Raw genomic sequence first — 19997 nt, 5'->3', positions numbered from 1 at the left:
GCCAGGCTGGTCTTGAACTTCTGACCTTGTGATCTGCCTGCCTCGGCCTCCCAAAGTGCTGGGATTACAGGTGTGCGCCACCGTTCCCAGCCCTGCCATTGGCTTTTTAACCAGGTGAATTCCTGTAGATTGGGTAGATTGAAAGGACATGTAGCTGAATCATTGGTTTTAAAAGGAATGGCTCAGTTACTTCATAGCCATATAATTAAGAAATGTGGCTAGAAGGTAAAAAATTGGCCAGGCCTGGTAGCTCATGCTTGTAATCCCAGCACTTTGGGGGCTGCGGCGGGAGGATCCTGTGAGTTTAGGAGTTTGAGACCAGCCTGGGCAACCTAGAGAGACCCCCATCTCTACCAAAAAACCCTTTTTTTTTTTTTTCCAATTAGCTGGGTGTGCCTGTGGTCCCAGCTACCCAAGAGGCTGAAGTGGGAGGCTCCCTTAAGCCTTGAGAAGTCGAGGCTGCAGTGAGCTGTGATCACGCCACTGCACTACAGTCTGGGTGACAGAGTGACAGTGTCTCAAAAAAAAAAATATATATATATATATATATATACACACACACATATAAAAGAAATTAATTTTGAGATAGCTAAATTAAATGCCATATTAAGAGCAGGAGGCTATTCAGCAATGCTGCTGAGAAGAAGACAGAAGGACGTGGGTCCTTCTAATGTAACTATGTGTGTCGGGTTAGTGATATGCACCTCGAAGGAGAAATTAAGACAGCACATTGCCATGTTAGTTCACACTTGCCAGTATTTCAGCATTTGTCAGGCAATGGAATGTTCAAGCGAATTTTCCACGAGGCTGACTTTAAAACATTTCATTTTAACCATTATGATGAGAAGTCTTTCTAGAACACTCCATCATTTGATGGCCCATGACTGAACCTCTCTTGGATGTTTTCAGGGTCATTATTACGGGTGTTAATGTTTGGTCTTCTGTTTTAATATGTAGGCTCCCGTAGGGCCATTGAAATGTGAAGAATCCTTCGTCTATGAAGTGTCCCCACATCAAAACTGCATTGTGAGTGTTTATATTTTTGGCCTCTCTTACTGTGGCCTTAACTTGCAGGTCTGTCTGGAGCCCTGTTCTCTCCTTTCCTAGTTTGCAGATGTGGCTGGGAAACTTGTTAGCATCAAATTGTTAGAATGAGATGGATTTCATATGGGGCCAGTAGTCTTCCATGAGCAAAGCTCAGGGTGAGGGCTTCAGGCCCATATTTTGACTATTCCGAGGTGCCCTTTCGCTTTTTGTTCTTTTTCTTTATGTTCAAGGAGTTATGTTTCCTGATGAATGAAGTATCAGTATATCATAGTAGAGAACGATTAGACCAGGTTCTGGAACACAGGAAACCTCAAGAAACAGTGAGTGTTGAGAATGCCAGAGCTAAGAACTCAGACATTTGTGAGGGAATACAGGTCTTTCTGTTCAGAATGTTCATGTACTTAAGAATCTTCTCGCCAGGCGCGGTGGCTCACGCCTGTAATCCCAGCACTTTGGCAGGCTGAGGCGGGTGGATCACCTGAGGTTAGGAGTTTGAGACCAGCCTGACCAACATGGAGAAACCCTGTCTCTACGAAAAATACAAAACTAGCCGGGCGTGGTGGCGCATGCCTGTAATCCCAGCTACTTAGGAGGCTGAGGCAGGAGAATCGCTTGAATCTGGGAGGTGGAGGTTGTGGTGTGCCGAGATGGCGCCACTGCACTCCAGCCTGGCAACAAGAGCGAAAACTCCGTCTCACACACACACACAAAAAAAAGGGAAACAAAGGTAAACTGGGAAGGAACCGTGTGTAATCTTCCGTACCTTGCATTTTCCACTTATATTCTGGGGTTTGTTTCCTGTCGCCACAGAGCTCTGGTATTCCATAGCGAGGATGTTTTGTAATTTATGTAACCCTCTCATGGCGGACATTTAGGTTGTTGCTGAGTTTCCCCAAGATAACAGACGGCATTGCCAACAGTTTCTCACACCTTCACCAGTGCTAGAATGACAGTATTTAAAACATCTGTCAATCTGGTAGTGAAAATGCTATCTCGTTTTAAAGTGCATTTCCTTAGTTATGAGTGTGGTAAAACATCTTTTACTAGGACGTAAAGCCATTGATGTTTCTTGTTTTTGTGAATGGCCATTTTTCTCTTGAACCAATGGCCTTTTTCTTTTTTTTTTTTTTTTTTTTGAGATGGAGTTTTGCACTTGGTGCCCAGGCTGGAGTGCAGTGGCGTGATCTTGGCTCACCGTAACCTCTGCGCTAGCCCTTTTAAATAACTTTTAAAAATTGAGACAGTGTCGGGCCAGGCACGGTGGCTCACGCCTGTAATCCCAGCACTGTGGGAGGCCGAGGCGGGCGGATCATGAGGTCAGGAGATCGAGACCATCCTGGCTAACACGGTGAAACCCCATCTCTACTAAAAATACAAAAAATTATCTGGGCATGGTGGCGGGCGCCTGTAGTCCCAGCTACTTGGGAAGCTGAGGCAGGAGAATGCCGTGAACCCAGGAAGCGGAGCTTGCAGTGAGCCGCGATCGCACCACTGCACTCCAGCCTCGGCAACAGAGCAAAACTCCATCTCAAAAAAAAAAAAAAAATTGAGACAGAGTCTGACTCTGTTGCCCAGGCTGGAGTGCAGTGGCGCCATCTCACCTTACTGTAACCTCCGCCTCCCGAGGTTAAGCAGTCCTCTCGCCTCAGCCTCACAAGTAGCCGGGATTACAGGCACGCGCCACCATGCCCGGCTCATTTATTTTTATTTATTTATTTATTTATTTTGAGATGGAGTCTCGCTCCGTCGCCCAGGCTGGAGTGCAGTGGTACAATCTTGGCTCACTGCAACCTCCGTCTCCCAGGTTGAAGCATTTCTCCTGCCTCAGCCTCCCTAGTAGCTGGGACTACAGGCACCCGTCACCACGCCCGGCTAATTTTTGTATTTTTAGTAGAGATGGAATTTCACCATGTTGATCAGGCTGGTCTTGAACTCCTGACCTCATGATCCATCCGCCTCAGCCTCCCAAAGTGTTGGCATTACAGGTGTGAGCCACTGCTCCTGGCTTTCTGGCTAATTTTTGTTTTTTTTTGTATTTTTAGTAGAGACAGGGTTTTGCCATGTTGGCCAGGCTAGTCTCAAACTCTTGACCTCGGGATCTGCCCGCCCCCACCTCCCAAAGTGCTGTGATTACAGGCGTGAGCCACGGCACTAAATTTTATTTTAGAGGCAGGGTCTTGCTTTGTCATCCGGGCTGGAGTGCAGTTGTGCGATCCTGGCTCGCTGCAGGCCTGACCTCCTGGACTCAAGTGATACTCCTGCCTCATCCTCCCAAGTGGCTGTGACCTCTTCCTCCCAAGGAGCATGTGCCACCATGCCTGGCTAATTAAAAAACATTTTTTTTAGAGATGGGGTCCCACTATATTGCCCCGGCTTGTCTTGAACTCCTGGTCTCAAGTGATCCTCCTACTTCTGCCTGCCAAAGTACTGGGATTACACGCAGGAGCCGTCGTGCCTGGCCCCCAGTTTTTTTCTTAATGTGTTTGTCTTTTTTTTTTTTTTTTTTGAGTTAGAGTCTCGCTCTGTCTGTTGCCCAGGCTGGAGTGCAGTGGCACGATCTTGGCTCACTGCAGCCTTCGCTTCCCGAGTGCAAGCAAGTCTCCTGCCTCAGCCTCTGGAGTAGCTGGGATTACAGATGCCCGCTGCGACTCCCAGCTAATTTTTGTATTTTTGGTAGAGACGGGGTTTCACCATGTTGGCCAGGCTGGTCTCGAACTCCTGACCTCAGGCGATCCACCCACCTCAGCCTCCCAAAGTGCTGGGATTACAGGCATGAGCCACCTCACCCGGGTGTTTGTCTTTTGACTTAAATTTTTATGTGGTCCTTATATTTATGGCCTTTTGGGTTATATATTTTGTTTAGAAACATTTCCTCTTAAGGCCGGGCGCGGTGGCTCACGCTTGTAATCCTAGCACTTTGGGAGGCTGAGGCAGGTGGATCACGAGTTCAGGAGTTTGAGACCATCCTGGCCAACATGGTGAAACCCCGTCTCTACTAAAAATACAAAACATTAGCCGGGTGTGGTGGTGGGCGCCTGTAGTCCCAGCTACTTGGGAGGCTGAGGCAGGAGAATGGTGTGAACCCGGGAGGCGGAGCTTGCAGTGAGCCGAGATCCCGCCACTGCACTCCAGCCTGGGCGACAGAGCGAGACTCCGCCTCAAAAAAAAAAAAAAAAAAAGATTTCCTCTTAAATCATTTTTTTTAAAAACTCAAGATGCCTGGCAGTTTAGGAACTGCAAAGCAAAACTACAGTGAGTTAGCACTTCCTACTCACTAGGGTGGCTATAATTAAAAATTAAAGAAACAACAACAAAAAAACAGGTGATACAAAATGGATAACTAGGATGTGGAAAAATCAGAACCCTCCCACACTGCTGGTGAGAATGTAAAACGGTGCGACCTCTGCAGGAAAACATTCTTGCAGCTCCTCACACAGTCAAACCGAATTACCATATGACCCCACAGTTCTACCCTGAGGCACATACCTTGTAGACATGAAAACATGTCCACAGAACAGCCTACACATGAATGTTCATAGCAGCATTATTCATAATAACCCGAAAATGAAAACAATCTGAAGGTCCATCAGAAGGTGGAAACGAGGCTGGGTGCGGTTGGTCATGCCTGTAATTGCAGCACTTCAGGAGGCCAAGGCAGGAGGATTGCTTGAGGCCAAGAGTTGAATGCCAGCCTGGACAACATAGTGAGACTCCATCTCGAAAAAAAATTTTTAAAAATTGCTGGGTGTGGTGGCACATGCCTGTGGTCCCAGCCATTTGGGAGGCTGAGGTGGGAGAATTGCTCGAGCCCAGGAGTTTGAGGCTACATTGAGCTGTGATTGTGCCACTGCACTTCAGCCTGGTCAAAGAGCAAGAACCTATCTCAAAAAAAAAAAAAAAAAAAAAAGAGTGCAAATAGGCCAGGAGTGGTGGTGCGCCCTTCTAATCCCACCTGCTTGGGAGGCTGAGGTGGGAGGATCGCTTAAGCCTGCCAGTTGGAGGCTACCATGCACCATGACAGTGCCTGTAAACAGCCACTGCACTCCAGGCAACATAGTGAGACCCCCACCCCACCCCAAAACAAAAGTTACAGTAAAAAGTTGGAAGCTGGGCCTGGTGCAGTGGCTCATGTCTACAATCTCAGCACTTCGGGAGGCTAACGTGGGTGGATTACTTGAGGTCAGGAGTTTGAGACTAGCCTGGCCAACATGGCAAAACCCGTCTCTACTAAAAATACAAAAATTAACTGGGCGTGGTGGCGGGTGCCTCAGCAGGAGAATCACTTGACCCTGGGAATTGGAGGTTGCAGTGAGCGGAGATTACACCACTGCAGAGTGAGACTCCGTCTCAAAAAAAAAAAAAGAAAAAAAGGGCCGGGACTGGTGGCTCACGCCTGTAATCCCAGCACTTTGGGAGGCCGAGGTGGGCCGATCACCTGAGGTCAGGAGTTTGAGACCAGCCTGACCAACATGGAGAAACCCCGTCTCTACTAAAAAAAAATATATATATATATAAAATTAGCCGGGTGTGGTGGCACATGCCTGTAATCTCAGCTACTCGGGAGGCTGAGGCAGGAGAATCACTTGAACCCGGGAGGCAGAGGTTGCAGTGAGCCAAGATCATGTCATTGCACTCCAGCCTGGCAACGAGAGTGAAACTCTGTCTCACAAAAAATTTGGAAGCAACCCAGTTGCCCATCATTTGATGAATGGAAAAAAATAATCTATACAGCGGAGTGCTCTTCAGTTATAAAAAGGAATGAGGTGCTGATACATGCTATATGTGGATGAACCCCAAAGACTTTATGCTAAGTCAAAGAAGCCAGACAAAAAACCATATATTGTATGATTTCATTTCTGTGAAGTGCCCAGAAAAGGCAAATCCATAGAGACAGACATAGATGAGTAGTTGCCAAGAGCTGGTGGGAGAGGGAAAAGAGAGTGAACATGAGTGGCTGTAGGGCTTCTTTTGGGGTGATAAAAATGTTCTGTAGTTGTCCGGGCATGGTGGCTCATGCCTGTAATCCCAGCACTTTGGGAGGCCGATGCGGGCGGATCACGAGGTCAGGAGATCGAGACCATCCTGGCTAACATGGTGAAACCCTGTGTCTACTAAAAAAAAAATACAAAAAATTAGCCGGGTGTGGTGGCGGGCGCCTGTAGTCCCAGCTACTCGGGACGCTGAGGCAGGAGAATGGCATGAACCCAGGACGCAGAGCTTACAGTGAGCCCAGATGGCTCCACTGCACTCCAGCCTGGGCGACAGAGCGAGACTCCGTCTCAAAAAAAAAAATGTTCTGTGGTTAGTGGTCGTGGCTGTACAACTTTGTGAATATACTAAAACCACTGAATTGTGCACTTGGGTGAATTATATGGCAGATGTGTTACATCTCAATAAAGTTACTAAATCTTTCATGTTTTCTTTCAGTACTTTTAGCTTTTATTTTTACTTCTATGGTCCATCTGGAATTCATTTTGACTTAATAAGTGACAGCGGAAATTAAAAAAAAAAAAATAAGAGGTTGGTCTTGCTATGTTGCCCAGGCTGGTCTAGAACTCCTGGCCTCAAGTGTTCCTCCCAACTTGGCCTTCCAAAGCACTGGGGTTACAAACATGAGCCCCTGTGCCCTGCTGGAAATTAATTTAACCTTTTTTTGTGTGTGTTTACTTTTTGAGAGTTGGGGGGGTCTCCCTATGTTACCTAGGCTGGCCTCGAGCTCCTGAGCTCGAGGGAGCCTCCTCCTGCCTGGATCTCCCTCCCAAAGTGCTGGGATTACAGGTGTGAGCAGCCATGCCTGGTCTGGAAATTTATTTTAATATTGTAGCTTTATATTAATGTTCTTTAATATTTGATGAATTTCCTCAGTTTTTTCAAAATTTCTTTGGCTATTTATGTACACTAACTTTTCCACATGAATTTTAGAATGAGAATAGTTTAAAAATGTGTTTGAAATTTTGTAAATGTGTTTATGTTTCTCGTAAGTTTTTAAGTGTTTTTTATAATGCAACGTTTTGTTTGTTTTGAGACAGAGTCGTGCTGTCGCCTAGGCTCGAGTGCAGAGATGCAATTTCAGCTCACTGAACCTCTGCCTCCCAGGTTCAAGCGATTCTAGTGCGTTGGTCTCGCGAGTAGCTAAGATTACAGGTGTGCATCCCCATGCCCAGCTAATTTTTGTATTTTTAGTAGAGACGGGTTTTCACCATTTTGGCCAGGCTGTTCTCAAACCCCTGACCTCAGCTGATCTGCCTACCTTGGCTTCTCAAAGTGCTGGGATTACAGGCGTGAGGCACCTCACCTGGCCTGTAATGTAACTTTTGTAAATAGTTTTGTTTTTTGATTTTTTTTTTTTGAGACGGGGTCTCGCTCTGTCGCCCAGGCTGGAGTGCAGTGGCGCGATCTCGGCTCACTGCACGCTCCGCCTCCCGCGTTCACTCCATTCTCCTGCCTCAGCCTCCCGAGTAGCTGGGACCACAGGCACCCGCCACCACGCCCGGCTAATTTTTTGTATTTTCAATAGAGACTGGCTTTCACCGTGTTAGCCAGGATGATCTTGATCTCCTGACCTCGTGATCTGCCCGCCTCGGCCTCCCAAAGTGCTGGGATTACAGGCGTAAGCCACCGCGCCCAGCCTAACTTTTGTAAATAGTTTTATAAGTAGGGTATTTATTTTGTAGATTATTGATATATGTAGTCCAATATGCAAACGATACAGAGGTATATCTGATGAAAAACTCGTCTCCCACTGACATGCCTCAGACAACACCCCTCCTGGTGGCAAGTCCATTAGCCAGTTTTTGGGTGTCCTTGCAGAGATCTGCGTGGCATATGAGAATAGCTATGCATGCATGTATCACATAACATGTATATGCATTTGAACACCATGGTAGTGTGTGCAAACCGCTGTTCTACCTCTAGTGTTTTTTCTTTGTGTTAGAGGTAATTCAGCATCAGCACACATTACACAGCATTGTCCCATTTCTCTATAATCCCATGCTTTCCAAGTGTTACCTTACGTCTGTAGTTTACTTGTTAGTCCTCCGCTTGTGAGTATGTAGCATATGTAACAGTCTTAAGTGGGTTATTTAATGACAGTCTTTGGCCCTAGTAGTGTTTCAGAGTTTTCTTAAAAGATCTTGCCAAAAAAGAAAAAAAAGGAAAGATTTTGCTTTCTTGGTAAATGCATTCTTAATTGTTTAGTTTTTGTTCCTGGGGTCTCTTATGTCATATTTTCTAACTAGTTTTCTGTATATAGGACGTCCGGGTGTTGATTTTTGTATTCTACCATCTTACTGAATGCTTTTTTTTTTTTTTTTTTTTTTTCAAGACGGAGTTTCACTCTTGTTCTCCAGGCTGGAGTGCAATGGCAGCATCTTGGCTTACCACAACCTCCACCTCCTGGGTTCAAGCGATTCTCCTACCTCGGCCTCCCAAGTAGCTGGGATTACAGGCATCCACGACAACACCTGGCTAATTTTGTATTTTTAGTAGAGATGGAGTTTCTCCATGTTGGTCAGGCTGGTCTCAAACTCCCAACCTCAGGTGATCCGCCTACCACAGCCTCCCAAAGTGCCAGGATTACAGGTGTGAGCCACCGCACCCAGCTTTTTAAATTTCTCTTAAAGACAGGGTCTCACTTTGTCACCCAGGCTAGAGTGCAGTGGTGTGATCTCGGCTCACTGCAGCCTTTACCCTCTGGTCTCAAGTGATCCTTCCGCCTCAAGTACCCCAAGTAGCTGGAACTACAGGTGCGTGTCACCATGTCCACCTAAGTTTTTGTATTTTTGGTAGGGACGGGGTTTCACCAGTTTGCCCATGCTGGTCTCAAACTCCTGGGCTCAAGCGATCTGCCTGCCTCAGCCTCCTAGAGTGCTGGGATTACAGGTGTGAGCCACTGCCCTAGGCCTTATTCTTTAAAATGATCTGCCTCTTGAAAAATGAAAGTCTTTTCTCAAAAAACTTCTTCCCAGGTCTGTGAAGCAGCACAGTGGCCCCTTCTGGCTCTCACCTTGTACCTCGTCCTTGTTTGCCTCGAGCATAGGACCTTGTCTGTGTTTGTGCCTCAGGCCCCCTCCCTCTGTGTTTGCTGGGTCCACTTAGTCTAGTCATTGGGCCTTGGCTCCTAAGAGGCCCCTAGACTGAATTCCTCATCCGATGTGTCCATACCAGCTTTCAAGTGACCTCAACATCGACAGCAGGGAAAACATTAGCACTTTTGTGACAGCCTCATATTTTCCCCCGCCCGAGATGGAGTCTCACTGTGTCGCCCAGGCTGGGATTACAGGTGCACGCCACCACACCCAGCTAATTTTTGTATTTTTAGTAGAGACAGGGTTCACCATGTTGGCCACGCTGGTCTCGAACTCCTGACTTTGTGATCCACCTGCCTTGGCCTCCCAAAGTGCTGGGATAACAGGTGTGAGCCACCGTGCCGGGCAGCCTCATATTTTTAATAATTTAATATCTGTTTTGAATAAATAAATATGGTTTGATTAACCAAAACCATGTGAACAGGTAAAGCTTGAGAAGTCTTGCTGCTGTTCAGAGCACCTGCTGTCTTCATAACCACTATTAGTTGCCTGTGGGTCCTGCCACTACTTACTTGTATGACTGTAGTAAGTGCAGATGTACATATTCCCTCAGGGACGCACCCTTCTCTGTGTTCTGTTACTCACTACATAGCTCGTGGAGAGCTTGCTGTGTTCATATATAGTTTGGTGCTCCTTCGCTTTCTGTAGCCACTGTGAAATGCCGTTCATATCTTTTGCCCCAGGTTTTTCTTCTGGACTGTCTGGCTATTTTTTTTTTTTTTTTTTGGGACAGGGTCTTACTCTGTCACCCAGACTGGAGTGCAGGGGCGCGATCTCAGCTCACTGCAACCTCTGCCTCGGGTTCAAGCGATTCTCCTGTTTCAGCCTCCCAAAGTGCTGGGATTACAGGCGTGAGCTACTGTGCCCGGCTTCTGTTTTATTTTTTGGTTTGATTCTGTCAGTTATTGAGAGAGGAGTGTTAAGATCTCCAGCTGTGATTGTGGAATTGTTTTGTCTTTAATTCTTTCCGTTTTAACTTCATATATGTTGAAGCTCTGTTATTAGGCAAATACACACTTGTGATTACATTTTCCTGATGAATTGTTTGTTGTAGTATTCTGAAATATCCTTCTTTTTTCCTAATAATATTTTTTATTTTGAAATGTATTTTACTTGATATTAATAGAGCCACTCCAGCTTTCTTAAACACACTTTTTGGATGGTATGTATTTTTCCATTCATTTGTCTTAAGTGTATCTTTTTCTTTATGTTTAAAGTGTCTTGTAGATAGCATGTAATTAGGTCTTCCTTTACCAATTCTGACAATCCTTGCCTTATAATTAGAGTTCAGTCTGTTAATGTAAGAGTAAATATCGATGTGGCTGGATTTATTGCTACCATTTTATTATTTGCCTTTTATTTGTCCTTTTGGATTTTTTCCCTGTTTTTCCTTTCCTTATCAATGAAATGTATTTGAGATTTCCATTGTGGTTTATCTAATGCTTTTTAAAGCTATTCTTCTTTGAATTATTATTTTAGTGGTTACTCTGGTGTTTGAAATATGCACCCTTGGCCAGGTGCGGTGGCTCACTTCTGTAATCCCACCACTTTGGGAGGCTGAGGCAGGAGGATCCCTTGAGCCCCAGAGTTTGAGACCAGCCTGGGCAACATGGAGAAACCCCATCTCTACTAAAAATATAAAAATTAGCCTGGCGTGGTGATGTGCATCTGTAGTCCCAGCTACTCGGGCGGCTGAGGCCCGAGAATGGCTTGAACTGGGAGGCGGAGTTTGCAGTGAGCCGAGATTGTGCCAGTGCACTCCAGCCTGGGCAACAGAGTGAGACTGCATCTCAAACAAACAAACAAAAAAGTCTGGGCGTGGTGGCTCACACCTGTAATCCTAGCACTTTGGGAGGCCGATGTGGGCGGATCACCTGAGGTCAGGAGTTAGAGAGCAGCCTGACCAACATGGAGAAACCCCGTCTCTACAAAAAATGCAAAATTAGCCAGGCGTGGTGGCACATGCCTGTAATCTCAGCTACTCGGGAGGCTGAGGCAGGAGAATCGCTTGAACCCGGGAGGAGGAGGATGGGGTGAGCTGAGATCGCGCCATTGCACTCCAGCCTGGGCAACAAGAGGGAAACTCCATCTCAAAAAAAAAAGTTTGTAAAGAGTAGCTTTTGTGATAGATACTTTGGCATACCAAGAAATATGGATGTTCCTGTCTTCAAAGAGTGTTACTGAGAAATACAAGCTTTTTCCTGCCCTAATTTGGTGAGATAAATTATACATTAACCAAAAAATTAACAGTGGGAAATGTCATATGCTGGCATATAGCAGCAGTTTCAAATGAGCAGCACAGGCTGGGCGTGGTGGCTCAGACCTGTAATCCCAGCAGCTTTGGGAGGCTAAGGTAGGAAGATTGCTTGAGACCAGGAGCTTAAGACCAGCCTGGTCAACATGGAAACACCCTATCTCTAGGAAAAAAAAAAAAAAAAGAATTTAGTCCTGTGTGATGGTGCTTACCTGCAGTCCCAGCTGTTCAGGAGAGTAAAGCAGGAAGGTCCCTTGAGCCCAGGAGTTCAAGACTGCAGTGAGCCATGACTGTACCACTGCACTCCAGCCTGGGTGACAGAGCAATCTCTTTTCTAAGAAAGAAAGAAATAGTAAATACATGAATAAATCTTTTTTTTTTTTTTTTTTTTTTGAGACGGAGTTTCACTCTTGTCACCCAGGCTGCTGGAGTGCAATGGCACAATCTCGGCTCACCGCAACCTCTGCCTCGTGGGTTCAAGTGATTCTCCTGCCTCAGCCTCCCGAGTAGCGGGGATTACAGGCACCCAGTGCTAATTTTGTATTTTTAGTAGAGATGGGGTTTCACCCTGTTGGTCACGCTGGTCTTGAACTCCTGACCTCAGGTGATCCACCCGCCTCGGCCTCCCAAAGTGCTGGGATTATGGTGTGAGCCACTGCGCCTGGCCAGTATAAAATTTTTTTAAATGGGCAGCATAAAAAGTTAAGTGCAGTGAACTCATAGGAAGAGATTATTGTGAACTGCTGGGGCCAGGGAGGCCTGAATGGGAGAGAGGGCCTGCAGCCAGGCCCTGCAGCAACTCGGATGGGAAGGAGTCCCAGCTACTGAGACTGCAGCTGCAGAGTGGAGGAGCTGCATGGGCACTGGCAGTAGTGGGTAGGGATGTGGGGGGTGGAAGGGGAGGGGTGTGTGGTGTCACATTCAAACTATCAGTGCTTCCCATTTTGTGCGACCCCAAACCACCAGATAGTTTAACAGTAAGATCTTGTAGCCTGACATTGAGGTTTGTGGTTTTTCCTTTAGGGTGTAGGAGAAACACAAAGACGGAAATTGTACAGCTAGCGTGTTTGGTATCTGGTTCAGGCAGATTTATTCCTCTAATGGTTTATTTTTTTTTTAATTTTTAATTTTTTTTTTGAGACAGGGCCTGGCTGCATCTCCCACCCTGAAATGCAGTGGCGTGATCTTGGCTCACTGCAACCTCTGCCTTGCAGGCTCAAGTGATCCTCCCAAGTAGCTGAGACTACAGGCATGCACCACCACACCTGGCTGTTTTTTTGTAGAGATGGGGTTTTGCCATGTTACCCAGGCTAATTTCAAACTCCTGAGCTGAAGCGACCCCCCGGCCTTGGCCTCCCAAAGTGCTGGGATTACAGGCATGAGCCACTGCACCTGAGTTAGTGATTAAAAGTTGTTGTAGAAGCCGGGCGCGGTGGCTCACGCCTGTAATCCCAGCACTTTGGGAGGCTGAGGCGGGCAGATCACGAGGTCAGGAGATCAAGACCATCCTGGCTAACACGGTGAAACCCCATCTCTACTAAAAATACAAAAAATTAGCCGGGCATGGTGGCGGGCGCCTGTAGTCTTGGGAGGCTGAGGCAGGAGAATGGCATGAATCCGGGAGGCGGAGCTTGCAGTGAGCCGAGATGGCGCCCTGCACTGCAGCCTGGGCAACAGAGTGAGACTCTAAAAAAAAAAAAAAAAGTTGTTGTGGAAAGTTTACATAACCTGAAATCAAATCTGCTTTTAAGAATGCTGTCAATTCAATTAATGTAATCTTGGCGTTATGATACTAAGTCTTGCAATTCTGGCTGGAAATATAGATTTCTTATTTTTTTCTTTTTCCCAATTGTGAGGACTTCTATATACTCCTCCCATAATGAATATTATATTAAATCCTTTCAAAAATATAGGCTGGGTGTAGTGGTTTGTGCCTGTAATCCCAGCACTTTGGGAGACTGAGGCAGACGGATCACGAGGTCAGGAGTTCGAGACCATCCTGGCCAACATGGTGAAACCCTGTCTCTACTTAAAAAAGAAAAACAAAAAAACAAAAAAACACAAAAGTTAGCCGGGCATGGTGGTGCACACCTGCAATCCCAGCTACTTGGGAGGCTGAGGCAGGAGAATTGCTTGAACCTGGGAGGCAGAGGTTGCAGTGAGCCGAGATCACGCCATTTCACTCCAGCTCTGGGCAACAGAGCAAGACCTTCTCGAGGAAAAAAAAAAAAAATTCTGCATATTAATTGGGGAAAAACCAAAAAGACTAGAAAAATGAAACATGGGGAAATCATGTTTAATCTTAGAGTGAGGAAGGCTTTTACAACCAAAAGACTAATTTCCTTTTTTTTTTTTTTTTGAGACAGAGTCTTGCTCTGTTGCCCAGGGTGGAGTGCAGTGGCGCCATCTCAGCTCGCTGCAAACTCCGTCTCCCGGGTTCATGCCATTCTCCTGCCTCAGCCTCCCAAGTAGCTGGGACTACAGGCGCCCACCACTACGCCTGGCTAATTTTTTGTATTTTTAGTAGAGACGGGGTTTCACCGTGTTAGCCAGGATGGTCTCAATCTCCTGACCTCGTGATCCTCCCGCCTCGGCCTCCCAAAGTGCTGGGATTACAGGTGTGAGCCACCGCTCCTGGCGACTAATTTCCTTAATATATAAAAAGCTCTTACAAATCAATAAGAAGAAGATTTAAAATGTAGTAGAAAAATTATCAGAGGATACCAACAGTCCCTTAACAAAAAAGGAAATAGGAAATATTTAAAAATACGGGACAGTGCTCAGTTTTGCTTATAATAAGAGAAATGTAAGTGAAAACTGCAGTGAAAATTTTATCTGACCAATAGGCAAAGATCCAAGAGTTTCATCTCAACACTGACTTGGCAGGAATGTAGGATGATATGCACTTTAGTACATTGCTGTGGGAACGTAAACTGATAGGATCTCTGTGGAGTGTGACTTGGCAGTATCTACCACTGCTTCAAATACATAACCTTAGGCTGGGCGTGGTGTCTTACGGCTCTAATCCCAGCGCTTGGGAGGCAGAGGCCGGGGGATCACTTGAGCTCAGGAGTTTGAGACCAGCCTGGGCAACATGGTGAATCCCTGTCTCTACAGAAAACACAAAAATTAGCCGGGTATGGTGGCATGAGCCTGTAGTCTCAGCTACTCGGAAGGTTGAGGTGGGAGGATCACTTGAATCCGGAGGGTTGAGGCTGCTGTGAGCCAAGATCACTCTACTGCACTTCAGCCTGGGCGACAGAGTGAGACCCAGTCAAAAAAAAAAAGAAAAAAAAAATTAGCTAGGAGTGGTAATACACGGCCTATAGTCCCAGCTACTCAGGAGGCTGAGGTGGGAGGATCACCTGAGCCCGGGAAGGTCGAGGCTGCAGTGAGCTGTGATTGTGCCATTGTGATCCAGCCTGGGCAACAGAGTGAGACCCTGTCTCAAAATAGTAGTAACTTACACCAGCCAGTTATTGCTGTGGTGTTTCCTGATGGTGTGCTTTCTGTTTTCTGCCATTCCTTGTGTTTATTCATTGGAATTCTGCTGTGATGAAGAGCTGCTGCTCCTCCTCTGTTTAAGTGTGCACCGATGTTTGCTTGATTTGCCGGGTCACAGCTTACAATCCATTATTGTCGTTCGTTATTTTGCCGCACAGATTGTCCTAGATTCTGCCACTGGGAGCCCTTCTGGCTGGGCTGTGTGTTCTCCTGACACACCCCGTCCTTTCTCGTCCTTCTGCACACCACTGGGTGTCCTAGGCTCCTCTGTGTGCTCCGCAGGGATCTCTGGTTCCTGTTTTTGGAGAGAGGTATTCACAAACCAAGATCTGGCTGCCAGGTAGGGTGACCAGCCGTCCTAGTTTGCCAGGACAAAGGCTTTCCCTGGGACGTGGGACTTTAGAGTGCTGAAACTGGAACAGCTTTTGGACTTTGCTCTCTGTAGCCTAAGTGGGGGGTCATCGCGCCTGGGCCCTGTCACGCGTCAGTGGACAGAGCTGGGAAATGTGTGTGTGTAAATGTTCCGGTATTGATTTCTGCATCCAGTCTGTACACATGGCAAAGGTTGTGAGCCTGTACTGATGCCTGTACCTCCAGTGCCGCCCCGCAGGGTTTATTCCTGCCCCTTCCTTATCAGTGACTTTTCTTCAACTGTGAGGACCCCAACTCAGTAGCCACAATCAGCTTTTCCGCTTGATCTTGGCACATGCGTAAATCGGGCTCAGACCTGCTGACTCCGCAGGGGACACATCTCCTGCCCGAGCCTGGTGATGGTGTGCTGTCCTCTGAGGTTAGTTTTACAGTAACAGTCAAAGTGCTATTTTCTGAAGTCTCTTAGGTTAGTTCTTCTTTCAGAGTGGTGATGTCATCGTCACAGCTCTGCATATTTGCTGTTTGTATTTCATTTTGTGTTCATGTGCGCCCTGTTTTGTTTTCACGGTTTCTTTTTCTTTTTCTTTTTCTTTTCTTTTTTTTTTTTTTTCGAGACAGAGTCTCACTCTGTCGCCAAGTCTGGAGTACAGTGGTGCGACCTCGGCTCACTGCAACCTCCACCTCCTGTGTTCGAGCAGTCCTTCCACCTCGGCCTCCCGAGTAGCTGATAACTAGAAGTGCGCCACCACGTCTGGCTAAGTAATGGTTTGTTTTTTGAGTATGAGAAACCTGACCATGGTTCTAAGAGAGACATACGAAAAGATGTATGTGGAAGTGTCATGTTCCCTCAGCTCTGCCAGCCCTCTCCCCTTCCCGCTTTCTTTGCATTCTCTGTACATATGCTGGTTGGGGGTTGAATTGTGTCTCCCCACGAAAGATGTTGAAGTCCCAGCTCTCAGTACCTGTGAATGTGACCATATTTGGAAATAGGGTCTTTGCAGGTGATCAAGTTAAGATGAGTTCACTTGGGTGGGCCCTAATCCAGTATGACTGTGTCCTTATAAAATGGGGACATTTGAACAGACAGACATGTGTAGAGGGAGAAGGGCAGACGTCCTGAAGGGAAGACACAGGGAGAAGATGACCACCCACAAGCCAAGCAACGCCAGAGGCTGCAGAGGCTGGAAGAGGCGCAAACAGACCCTCCCTCCCAGCCTCAGGAGGAACCAGCCCTAGTGGCACCTTGATCTTGGACTTCTTGCTTCCAGGACTGTGAGAGAATAAGTGTCTGTTACTGTAAGCTACCGGGTTTGTGCCACGGGGAGTTTAATACACACCTCCTGTAGGTAACCAAGCTGTGGGGTTTGAAGGCCGGGTACAGTGGCTCATACCTGTCATCCTAGTGCTTTAAGAGGCCAAAGTGGGAGGATTACTTGAGTCCAGGAGTTCAAGACCAGGCTGGGCAACAAAGAGAAACCTTGTCTCTATTTTTATTCTTTTTTAAAAAGAGGCCAGGTATGGTGGCTCACGTCTGTAATCCCAGCACTTTGGGAGGCCAAGGTGGGCAGATCACTTGAGGTCAGGAGTTGGAGACCAGCCTGGCCAACATGGTGAAACCATGTCTCTTTTAAAAATAAAAGCCAGGCATGGTGGTGCGTGCCTGTAATCCCAGCTACTAGGGAGGCTGAGGCAGGAGAATCGCCTGAACCCAGGAGGCAGAGGTTGCAGTGAGCTGAGATCATGCCCCTGCACTCCAGCCTGGATGACAGAGCGAGACTCTGTCTCAAAAAAAAAAAGAGAAAGATACGTTCGCGTCCTCATCCCTGGTACTTGTGAGTGTGAGCTTATTTGGGTCATTTCAGATGTATCAGGTTGTGATGAGGTCACACTGCATGGGGGTGGGGCCTAACTCCAGTATTCCTGGTATCCGTATAAGAAGAGGGAAATCTGGACACAGCCAGGACTCACATAGAGAAGAGCTTGCCATGTGACAAGAGACAGAGCCTGGAGGGTCTGCAAAGCATGAAACACCAAGGATGCCGGCTACTGCCAGAAGCTGGGGAGAGGTGCGGGATGGACTCTCCCTCGGCACCTCCAGTGGGAAGCACCGCTGCCCAGAACCTGGGACCTTTTTTTTTTTTTTTTTGAGACAGAGTCTCGCTGTCTCACCCAGCCTGAAGTGCAGAAGTGCGGTAGTGTGATCTTGGCTCACTACAGCCTCAACATCCTGGGCTCAAGTGATCTTCCCACCTCAGCCTCACAAGTAGCTGGGACTACAGGTGCACACCACTACACCTGGCTAGTTTTTGTGTTTTTTGCAGAGATGGAGTCTCACTTTCTTGCCCAGGCTGGTCTTAAACCCCTGGGCTCAAGCGATTCTCCTGCCTTGGCCTCCCAAAGTGCTGGGATTACAGGTGTGAGGTTGTGTGCCTGGCTCAGAACTGTGGACCTTTTTGAAACTGCCTAGTTTGTGGTGCTGTGTTTCAGTAGTCCTAGGAAACAAAATACACAGTCACATCAGTTTCTGGTTTATCCTTTTTGTGTTTCTTTTACACAAATGGTGAGAAACACTGATATGCTCTGTGGGCAGGTGTTGGCACTTGGACACTTCCCTCCTGTGCCCCCAGGGCTGGCTGTGCTTTGGAAGGAGGCACAGAGACTTCAGCACCCTGGTTTGATGTAGACTGTTCGCGAACTCCTCTAATGCCAAATACCATTTAATTCCAGAAGAAATGTCCCGGGATTTTTTTTTTTTTTTTAACTGTACGAATAAAGTGAACAATGCAATTACATGGGCCCAAATAACTGGATGTTTACATGGTTTGGAATTTGAATACTTTCTGAATTGTGGTAGATGTTTTTAAGGTATCTGCATAGAGATAAAGACAGGCTAGGGTTGGCCGGGCATGGTGGCTCACGCCTGTAATCCCAGCACTTTGGGAGGCCTAGGTGGGTGGATCACCTGAGGTCAATAGTTCGAGAGCAGCCTGACCAATAAGGTGAAACCTCGTCTCTACTAAAAATACAAAAATTAGGCATGGTGGCTGGTGCCTGTAGTCCCAGCTACTTTGGAGGCTGAGACAGGAGAATCGCTTGAACCCAGAAGATGGAGGTTGCAGTGAGCCGAGATCACTGCACTCCAGCCTGGGCGACAGAGCGAGACTCCATCTCAAAAAAAAACAAAAACAAAAGGCCAGGTTTGTGCTGTTTGTAAGTCCAGGAATAAGCCTAAAGAATAGGCAAGTTTTGGCTGGGCACGGTGGCTCATGCCTGTAATCCTAGCACTTTGGGAGGCTGAGGTGGGCAGATCGCCTGAGGTCAAGAGTTCGAGACCAGCCTGGCCAACATGGTGAAACCCTGTCTCTACTAAAACTACAAAAATTAGCTGGGTGTGGTGGCAGGCGCCTGTAAACCCAGCTACTCGGGAGGCTGAGGCAGGAGAATCGCTTGAACCCGGGAGGTGGAGGTTGCAATGAGCCGAGATTGCACCATTGCACTGCAGCCTGGGCAACAAGAGTGAGACTTCATCTCAAAAAAAAAAAAAAAAAAAAGGCAAGTTTTTGTACCTTTTAGGAGTATGAAAGTTGATATGTTAATTTTTTTTTTTTTTTGAGACAGAATGTTGCTCTGTCACCCAGCCTGTAGTGCAGCGGCACGATCTCGGCTCACTGCAACCTCCACTTCCCAAGTTCAAGCCATTCCCCTGCCTCAGTCTCCCGAGTAGCTGGGATTACAGGTGCCTGCCACCATGCCCGGCTAACTTTTGTATTTTTAGTACAGATGGGGTTTCTCCATGTTGGCCAGGCTGGTCTCGAACTCCTGACCTCATGTGATCCGCCTACCTCAGCCTCCCAAAGTGCTGGGTTTACGGGCGTGAGCCACCGCACCCCTGGCTGATATGCTGATTTTTAAAACCTTGATTCCTGGATATTCTGTTGTCTTTCCTTTCTACTTGTTACAAATTTGTGAAGAACAGGAGAGGCTCCCAGTTAGATGCGGTTCATTTAGGCTTAGACTTTGACACGGCGTGGCTGGCTGGCCACATATCCTTGACACCATCACGTATTGCAAATCTACTGACCAAGGCAGGGTCCTGGTATGTGGTCCCTGGGGTCAGTGGGTGTTGGTGTTGGGTCGGTCCAGTCCTGTGTTGGAGTGAAAGTGTCTGGTTTCTGGGCCTGCGTCGGTGAACTGCGTGCGGCTGGGGACACATTGGCTGCTTTCCTCCCTCGCTGGGCTCTGCCGGCAACTTTCTCAGCCCACTGGACTGAGCAGGAAGTTACAGAAGACAAGTCTCCTTCTTAGTTAGAAGGTAGAACCCATCGTCAGCTGTTTTTCAGTTTTTAAAGTACACAAATTTTTTTTAAAAAATCTGTTTTGGATGAAAAAGCAATGGGAAAGAATCAACTTTTAGAAGATGAGACAGTTTCAGAATATTAACATTTAAATATTTGGATCCCTTTTGGGAGGATTTTTTTTTTGCTTGACTGTCAAGAGCAAAGAAGTGTGGCCCATCGGGGGCTTCTGCAGGGGCTGCGAGGGTCGAGACAGGTTTCAGTTTGGTAGGTTGATGCGAGGTGTCACCCGTGAGGCGAATGTGGGAAGTGCTGTCAGCAGGCATCTGCCAGCTGGGCATGGTGGCTCACGCCTGTCATCCCAGCTCTTTGTAAGGCCAAGGCGGGAAGATGGTTTCAGCCCAGGAGTTCGAGACCAGTCTTGGCAACATAGCAAAA

The 19997-nt window shown here is 47.1% G+C and overlaps 1 protein-coding gene across 3 annotated transcripts in view, besides 1 other annotated feature; it reads left to right on the top strand.

The window, feature by feature from the left end:
* Window positions 1-19997, top strand: part of TRAP1 (TNF receptor associated protein 1) — a 59488-nt gene that overhangs the window by 6114 nt on the left and 33377 nt on the right. Inside the window, exon 1 of one of the 3 annotated variants that reach the window (XM_011522345.3) lies at window positions 1009-1026. The exons of the other annotated variants lie outside the window; for them this stretch is intronic. The gene's annotated coding sequence lies outside the window, so the exon portion shown is untranslated. Of the gene's footprint in view, window positions 1-1008; window positions 1027-19997 lie in introns of those variants that run through there. 3 annotated transcript variants of the gene reach the window in all.
* Window positions 14691-15191: an enhancer, noted in NCBI's record as "H3K4me1 hESC enhancer chr16:3746221-3746721 (GRCh37/hg19 assembly coordinates)". NCBI's record gives its function as "activates a minimal SCP1, AML or CMV promoter by ChIP-STARR-seq in naive H9 embryonic stem cells {active_cell/tissue: H9 hESC(naive)}" and the evidence as "EXISTENCE:reporter gene assay evidence [ECO:0000049][PMID:30033119]".

Source organism: Homo sapiens, chromosome 16 (assembly GCF_000001405.40).
Source record: "Homo sapiens chromosome 16, GRCh38.p14 Primary Assembly".
Lineage (NCBI taxonomy): Eukaryota > Metazoa > Chordata > Mammalia > Primates > Hominidae > Homo > Homo sapiens.
This window is presented reverse-complemented; position numbering and strand designations above follow the sequence as displayed.